Below are 9,211 nucleotides of genomic sequence, written 5' to 3' on the forward strand. Positions count from 1 at the left end.
AGTGTTAGACATTGAGATAAAATATGACAAGGTCTCTAAAGATAGCATAGGAAAAAGTTTCCAGGGATAGACGTACATAAACTACCAATGGGAGGTAACTGTTTTCAAATCCTCCTGAAAGTTTGCATGGTCATGCTCATGCTAGCTTTAATCATATTTAATATCATTGTATGCAACTGGCTTTTAGACCAGCCTAGACATTTTCCTTCTAGGTTTGATTCCAGTGAAGATGAGCAACAGGTGGAAGGCATGCTCCTTTTTATTTCAAGTGACACTTCAAATATGTCGCTTTACCCTTTACTTTGAATTACTATTTTTCACTGGATTTGCTTTCTTTCTGTTCAGTTATCATTTTGCTCTTTGATGGACTTGCCAGTTTTTCCACATCACTCACACTAGGAACTCCGGAAACCTCTAGCTCAGTCCTAAGTCAGCTTTACTGTCTGGGTTCACAGTTGCTGTTGCTCTCTGCTTAGCTATTCACTGTAAATATTTTTCTCTTCTCATCCACATAAACCACGTTCGTCTCTAAATTCCTCAGGGACTGTATCTTAGTCATCTTGCTCTAGCACAGAGCCTGGCAGTTAGAATTTATCAATAAATATTTGTTGGATGAATGAAAAGCAGCAGAAACAACCTTTCATTTCAGTTGGTGGGCTCTAATCCTGTCTGGATGACCTAATGGAGAAATAGACTCTGTTTCCTGCCACTGTGGCCACCAAAACCAGCCCATGAATGGGTCAGCAGCCAAAGGGAGAGGAACCTGAGATTCCTACTCACTAATGTGTCCATCACATGCAGGCTTTTACTTAATCTCCTTTTTACACTTGTCATAGAACATAAATGAGTCCCACATCTCCCCTAAAACCCATACAATTTCAGGTTAGCATTAGTGTCACTTTCAATAATCCAGCTTATTGTTGCTGGACCGAACAATTCTACTTATAGCATGTATAAAAGAAATCTGTACTAGTAAAAACAGACTATGATGGTCCTTATCACATTTTATCCTGGGAGTGTTATAATCAGTTGTAACAATGTCATGACCAGAGCTGAATGATGCTGATAAGTTTATTTTCCCTTAGCTCTTTGTATTCATAACCCTGTCTTCAAATTGCAACATAATGTCAATATTTCTTCTGGAAATTTGATAAGCACCATCCATTTACCTTCAGGTGTACATTGACAGCAATTAATCTCTGCGTACCACCTACGTTTCCAGTTGTCATCCTGTACCTCCTCTATAAACGTTTGCTCAAAAGAACATCTCAGTTTTACTTTTGTCTAGACAATATTTTTACCCATTTGCTTATTTACTGCAGTGCACTTTAGGCTGTAACCCCAAAGCTCAAGAAAATAAGTTTTTTGGAAGCCAGTCATGTTAGGCATATAATTTATATGTTTATAATTTAAGTCATCTTTTCAAAAGTAGTATATATATTGAATATTTAAAGTATTCTTGTTTTATTCAGATGTCACATTTTATATTGCAATTAGTATCTATAGGTCAAAATGTATGGAGTTATAAAAAAGGTTTTCTTTAAAAAATTTGCTTTCCAACACTATCAAAGGAGACACTGAAACATTACAGCTAACTTGAGTTTTTTCATTTAATTTAAAGATAGTGTGAACAGGTACTGAAGACACTGTCTTACATTTTACTAATATCTATATAGAGTGGATTAAATTTGTGAAAACATATATCTGCACAGAGTCTATAAATTTCTCAAGGTCAGAAAATAAACCATAAAAAGATTTAATTCCTCTAAAGCTTTAAGCATGCTAACATTTGTTAACTTGATCTTATAAAATGACATTTGAGATGTGTTTATCTTCCAACCTAAAATATTAATTTTTATTGATCAGGTTATAAGTTTTTGCTTACTTGCAATAACTTTATTATTTTTTCTGTTGACCCTAACATATAACAAATGAAGACATGTGCAGATATAACATGTTAAGAAGATAAATAAAACATCAACACTCATGTTAACACTGCAAATACACATGAGAGCTTTATACTAAGACGGCCATCTCCTCCCTCTGACTTATATTTTCCTGAAGGACATTTACATAGCATAAATATTTTAAAGACTTTTGGCTATTTGATGACACCTTGAACATATACTTTGAATCTAAGGGAAAGGAGAGTCATATTTATCTCCTTTCTAAAACAATTCAAATGTGATGTGTCCCTATTTGCTAAGCTGAAAGTAAGATGAAGTCAAATAAATGGAAAATCAAATATTTTTAAACTTCTAGGAGCTTTTTGTTTGCTTTTTTGTTATTTTAATAAGAGAAACAAAGTAAAACATGTAAAAACACAAACTCTCACCCAGCATCCTCTTACGAAATACCCAATTTTCAAATAAGCAGTACTATTTGCTCTATTTATTACTGGTCTTTAAGAGAAATAGACCTAAAAAAGAACATCTTGGAAGGCTAGTGTACTTTCATAATTCCCTGAGAAGCTCAGTGATTATGAGTAATGTGAACCAGAGTTCAATATTCTTACCCTTGGAATCAGGAAAAAGAAAGTCCTTTAAAAGATCAAGATCTTTGATAGCAGTAACAAGAACTAAATTTGCCAGGGGTAGAGCCGTCCTCTTACCAATTTCAGGCAAGAAGCAATCTTTTCTTGAGTAGCGAAAGGCAAGCCAACTAAAGAAAAAATCTGTGTGACTTCAATTACATAAAATTGACTAGATGGTTAAAAAACAATACTTTCACAGAATTTTTTCTTTCTGTAAAACTTTACTTGTATGTTGGTTCTTATTTCATTCAGAGATATATTAAGAGCAAATGAAATTGTGAAATTATTTTCAAATACACAAAAAAAGCTCCCCCACGACAACTTTTTCTCAATTGCCTCTTTTGCCTTTCCTCAGTTTTATAGTCTTCAGTGGGTCTCCCTCATTGCTCCATATTCCTAAGCCAACAGGAAGAATTTCTTTCAGACCCTTAAGCCTTGTGTCTGTTACCATAGAGACAGGCATCACAAAGTAGCTGCTCAGGAACATCCTCATGGAAATACAATAAGAATCCTATGGGTTTTACAGGAATTTCCAGCGCTACCAGTGAGCAGAAATTATATCTTTCCCTAGAAAAAAAATGTGGGGATTTTAGTTGCACATTATGGAACTATGGAGATTGTAATATTTGGTGGTAAATTCAGAATCCCTCAGCTTTATGCTTAGAATTTGATTATAGTTTCTCCTATGACATGAAAAAAAATCCCTTCTCATATCCCTATGTTCAGGAAAATATAAATAACTCATTGCTAATTCTTAAATTTAGCATGTCTTATCAATCATTTACTAAAACCCTTAACTGTTCTTTTATAGTGCAGTGCATTTGTTTTATCTTGATCCCTTCTAGAACATATTTGATCAAGAACACACTCATAATGTTATAAAAGTAAGTCTCTAAAACTGCAATTCCAAAGCTGCTGAGAGAGTCTATAAACCCACGAAGAGAGAAGAGGGTAGCTGCAAGAAGAAAATTCCACTCACTTTACCTTGTTTTCCATTGACTTTCACCCTTTCTGTAAGTCTACTGAAATCATACACTAACGGAAAAGCAGCAATAAAAATAACAGAATCCTACCAAATAGGTAAATTCAGCAAGATTAATGGAGTCAAACTAGGCAGATATTATATATAAGTCAATGATTGCAGAGACTTCAATTTTTTATGGAAACATTAAATAAACATTCCTCAACAAGTAAATTATCTCAATAGACTAACAGCCAAATGAAACCATCTTTATCTGTTAGGCTGCATATTTGAACTACTTTTCCAAGTCTCTAGTACTTAAGTAGTATGGGTGGTTACAATTTCTGTTTATGGTATAGAACTGTTATTTAACTGTTACATTGCTTGTTTAGATACTTGAGTCAATAAGCAAAAAACAAAATTTCTTTATAGTCTAGAGATGAGGTGAGCAAACTTTTCCTATCGAGGGCCAGATAGTAAATATTCCTGCTTTGTGGCCCACATGGTCTCTGTCATAAGTACTCAACTGTGTTTTAGCATGAAAGGAGTCCTATATAGCATATAAACAAATAAATGGGTGTGGCTGTCTTCCAAATAAACTATAGACTCTTAAATTGAAATTTTATATAATCTCATGTGTCAGAAATATTCTTGAAATGAAACAATTCAGAAACGTGAAAACCATTTTAAATGACTGGTCAAACAGTAATAGATGTGACAATGTGGACTATCATTTACTGACCCCTAGCCTGGATGATGCGAGTGGAGTAGTAGAGACCCTCAGAGAAATAAATGTCTAAAAAAAAGAACATGTTTTTAAAAGAAATGATTGGACTCACAGATTCTTAGTTAAAAATTATCTCAGACATCTTCTTCAATTTCCATTTAGTGCAGAAACTCCATTCTTAGCACTGAACACTTTAGGAATAAGGAGTGCAGTGTCTCACAAAGTAATCAATTCTCTGCTCACAACATTAACTGGAAGAATACTTTTCCATTGCTACCAAAGAGGTGCAAGTGAGTCTAAACCCTCTTCTGCATTATAGCACATCGAATATTTGAAATCAGCTTAATTTTCTCTACTTTTTTCCTTCAAGTATTCTTCAACTTTTCACTTTTCTAGTACTTTCCATGCCCCTCAAATGTTATAGTTTGTAGGACCTTTTAGCATTCAGACACTTTTCACTGAACATACCCCCAAATGTTAAGGTTCCTCTTAGATCATGGTGTCCTTCTAAAATATGTATATATTACCACATATAATATATACATATACCATACCTATCATATATATACACACACACACCATTATATCATATATATCCTTCTAAAATTCGTTCTCATTTTTTTCATTTCCTTTTTCAGGATACATGTCTAACAATATTACTTTGTTTCATTGTATTTTGATGTCATATGAATTATGACTGATAATAATGATGACCAACAAAATCAGTAAGATTTATTCAATTAATTATTACTAAGCTTTAACTCTCTCATGTCCTGTACTTGCCAGATTGATTTTATGAACCTTAGCTTAGGATGTTATACTTATTCCTATTACAATTATTCTCTTTGACCTCACCACAGTTTTTAGGTGGTCATAATCCTTTGGTACCCTAATAGTTCAATGTATTTGTTCTGCTTCCCAGATAGACAGGCTATCTGGATCGTCCTTCAGTTTTTGGACATTAATATTTCACAGGCCAAGTAGGTTCAAGAACAGAGACATAAGGCACATTACAGAAGATTAGGTTCAAGTCAGATGGAACCAATTTTATAGAACTATGCTATAGTCCTGTGAAAGGCCCTCTTCCTGGTTTACTGTGATTCATTAATTGATACATCACAGGCAGGGTCATTTAGCCAGCTGATTTATTGACCAGACTCTTATGTCAAACAGCAAATATTTCTCCATTTTCACCATATGGGCATCATAAAAATCTTTACCAAAGTCCATGCTATAATCAAGATAACTAGCCATATTACATACTTTTCAGATAACATTGGAGAATCACAGCATATATTATCTTTGCACTCTTTCTAAACCATCTCACCTTCTTCAGGAATTGTCAGTTACTCCCAGTGAAGAAAAAATATTGCATATTTTTCTGGAAAAATATTTCCAGTTTTAAGTAATTATTTACTCTCCACAATCTAATTATGGACTTTCCTTCCTATTTTTCACTTTAGTTTATTAACTCCAGGACCAACTAAAATATTGTCGTGGCTTTCTCTTTTTAAACAGTTCTGACTTTTTTTTTTTTCCAAAGCGTGTGTGTGTGTGTGTGTGTGTGTATGCACATGCTTAAGTGGTTTGTTTTTATTTGCTTTTTCCTTCTTAAAAGATGGATTATATGAGAATGGGAGGATAATAGGATGGAGCAAGCTTCTCAGGCAAAACATTTCAAAGCATATTTCTTAACCGATAGTGTCTTCCCCTGCTCATCTTTCTGAAGAGCAACACCTGAGAGGCAGCTACTCTAGCTCATGTGGGAAATTTCACTTGACAGTCTTATCACAAAAAGAGAAATAAGGGAGATTTTTTTACTTAAAAAATAATGATGCTCAATAAAATTTTTACCTAAAAGAGATAAATAATTGTTTTAGAATATAAATGCCTTAGAGAAAACAATCTGAGTTTGAGAGAATTGGGGAAAACTCACATAGATTTATAAAAGTCACTAATTCTGGATTTAAAAATATATTAAAATGTTTGCAGTCTATTTCATTGTGTCCCACTTCTCTTTCACACCTTCTATTTTTATGCATTTCTCCTTCATCGTTTTTTCTTCCTTAAAGCACTTCAGAAGACACAGGATTAAGCAATTGGGATTTGAAGACTTCACGTGGTCTCATCACTCTGCAGGCTGACCCTGTTTTAGAGCAAGAAATATTGGCAGACATTTCCAGCTCTTACAATGCATTTATCAATAAGGGTTTGCCTGCTCTTCAGGTGCGTGGCATATAGACTTTACGATTTCATTAATAATCAACAGCTGGTGCCACCTAGCGTCTGTCCAATCCATTCATCAGTGGGACCAAATACAGAGCACTTTCTAACCGCAAATGAAGCAAGCCTAAACTATAAACTAAAAAATACAAAAACACAGTTTGGGGATTCCAGTGGCTGATTTAAAGTACGCTATCTTCATTGAAAAAGAAAAACCTTCTTTTAAAAGTAACTATGGTAACAAGAGAGTGAGGCTAGAAGGAAGCTCACATTTTTTCGAAGGAGACAATTCACAAAAGGAGAGTCCTACTAAAGATGCAGTGTAAAAGAGTTTTTACAGTCTTGAATGGTCACTTAAAACGGTTATAAAAAGTTGAAAAGTAACATTGGCCAAAGAGGGCTGTATTTTAAACAACAGTATAGACAGAGCTGAATTTTCTCAACCAACCACAAAATAACCCTGTAGCATTTGGATGCAAAATTCTGTCAGTCTTTGAGCTTCCCAAAGATTAACCAAGTTCTGTAACACACTATACAAAAGCATCTACAGTACTTAAAAGTATTAAACGGAAATAATCAGAGTGCCTGAACCACATTATAAAAAAAAATTCTTTGCTGCTAAAATGATACATCTAGAAAACTATTTTCTTTCCTGCTGTATATATGAATTATGAATGATATTCAACCACGGTAATGTATGCTTCAAGGTTAAAAAGTAGTCATCCAAATCCTTGACTATTTTTCAAAACAGAAGTTAGCAATTATTTTGGAGAAATCCTAGTGTAATTAGCCCACCACTTGCTAATTAATTTACTGATATTTAAATACATGTTGTTTTTAACTCACCCTTTCTAAGAGGAATACGTAATTGAAAACCATGGACTAACATTCAGAAAAAAAGTTACATAACAGCCAATAGTGTTCCTTAACCAGACTGACTGGGATATTACAATTACTACAGAAAAGGCACAGCACATACGAGTAGCACTGTGTACACTGAAAGGTCATATTAGATGTACATATATGATAGTCTATTAACTTGGATGATTTAGCTCCTCAGGCTATGGAGGAGACTGGGTAGAGAGCCGAAAGATTCTGTATTACATAGACAGTTAATAATCAGGCTTTTCACACTTAGGAAAATCTATTTCTATATTATTTAACATCTGTTTTAAACAATCACTTGTTAAATGTTTGAATGTTTTATTTGCTTGTTACCCTAGTGGTGATAAAGATTATTTCAATATGTTCAGTCTGATTACAGTCACTGACAGATCCCCATGACAGCATGTGAAGATAGGTTATAGAAACGATGCATAGTTTATACAAAAAGCATAAATTGCTCCCCTTTCTCCAAAAACTTTATTTTTGGAGCCAAATACTGTCCATGCTCATGCTCCATTTGCTTAAAAGTACTTATAATTATAATCCACTGATTGTAGGGGAAAGAAATATTGCAAAACAGAGAAAGGGTTCTAAAAATCGTACGCAGGCAAGAAAGAATGTAAGACAAAACTCATTAAAGGGCAAAATAAATAAATAAATAAATAAATAAATAAATAAATGCTCACATTTTCAATAATTTATCACTTCTGTCATTTTTCATTAACAGCCTTCAAAGCCCTATCTGAAACAAGCTGATACAGAGAAATTAAGAGCAGTAATCAAGCGAGAAATCATAGACCAGCTGGGTCGACATCAACTTGGCAAAACGTGAATACAGTTCAATAGCTGAAACAGATGCTAGAGTTGTTGAAAAACCCTGCAGGAGATATTGATATATTTTCTTCATATAATGCAGAATGACTGAATAAATGTCAAAAGCTAGAAATTGATGAGGAGAAATGACTGACAGCCAAACTCCTTATAAAATAGAAACCAAGTATAACAATTTTCAACCTATCCAAACATTCTGTACATTCTCATTTCTCTCACTGTCTGAATATGCCAATACATCAATCAGTTCTTGCAACTAAATTGCATATAACTAATCTGGGGTAGATTTCCCCGAAGATTTTTTTCCCCCTGTCATCATCTACCTGAAGAAACCTAGACTCCTGAACAATACTTTATTCTAAAATCTTCTAACACTGATTTCTATCCCAGAAGTGTTTTCCTGAGGTTGGAGGCAAGCACACCCCCTCCCCAAAATCTAACGCAGCACAAGGCAATTTTAAAATCCATTCTGTAAAAGCAACACTGTTTGCAGAGTTTGAAGAGCTCGGCAACAAACCCCAGCTACCAACAGCTGCTTGTTCAAACATATGCTTTGTCATGGCCAGCTTCTAATTGTATTTGTAATGATGTAATAGCTTTAATAATCCTACCTTCCATGCCAGCTGTTTTTCCTGTCACTCCATCATGCCAATAAGTTGGCTGCTGTAACAAATCAAGATAGTGCAAAACAGCATCTTTCTCCTGATTCTGTCATCTTCCTGAAAGCATTCTATTACTGCCGACTGCTGGGAACCAGAAAGTCTATTTGAATTCCAACAGCTCCCCTTTCGCATGATTCAAGTTAGGTTAGGTGGGCATGCCTAACATGATTCTTTCAGTCATTTATTATGCAGCTGCTACAACGTCGGTGTGGTAACCACTCTGACTATCTGATACGTCAGTCGAACAAAACCTATACCTCGGAGCAAACACATGAGCCAGAGCAGCGTTTGCATTTAACGAGCATTCTTCCTGCCTAAAAAACAGTGGATCTGCAAATCTCTTTCAGTATCTACTCGCTCTTCTGTACAGATGCAAAGCCTTTGGATTA

The 9,211-nt window shown here is 34.5% G+C and overlaps 1 protein-coding gene across 2 annotated transcripts in view; it reads right to left on the bottom strand.

Annotated features, from left to right (window-relative positions):
- Window positions 1-8,901, bottom strand: part of DMD (dystrophin) — a 2,220,167-nt gene extending 2,211,266 nt beyond the window's left edge. For both annotated transcript variants that reach the window (XM_006724469.4, NM_000109.4), the window contains exon 1: window positions 8,772-8,901. In XM_006724469.4, the coding sequence (XP_006724532.1) occupies window positions 8,772-8,778 (7 nt within the window). In that variant the 5' untranslated portion in view covers window positions 8,779-8,901. The remainder of the gene's footprint in view (window positions 1-8,771) is intronic.

This window comes from Homo sapiens, chromosome X (assembly GCF_000001405.40).
Source record: "Homo sapiens chromosome X, GRCh38.p14 Primary Assembly".
In the NCBI taxonomy this organism is placed as follows: Eukaryota; Metazoa; Chordata; class Mammalia; order Primates; family Hominidae; genus Homo; species Homo sapiens.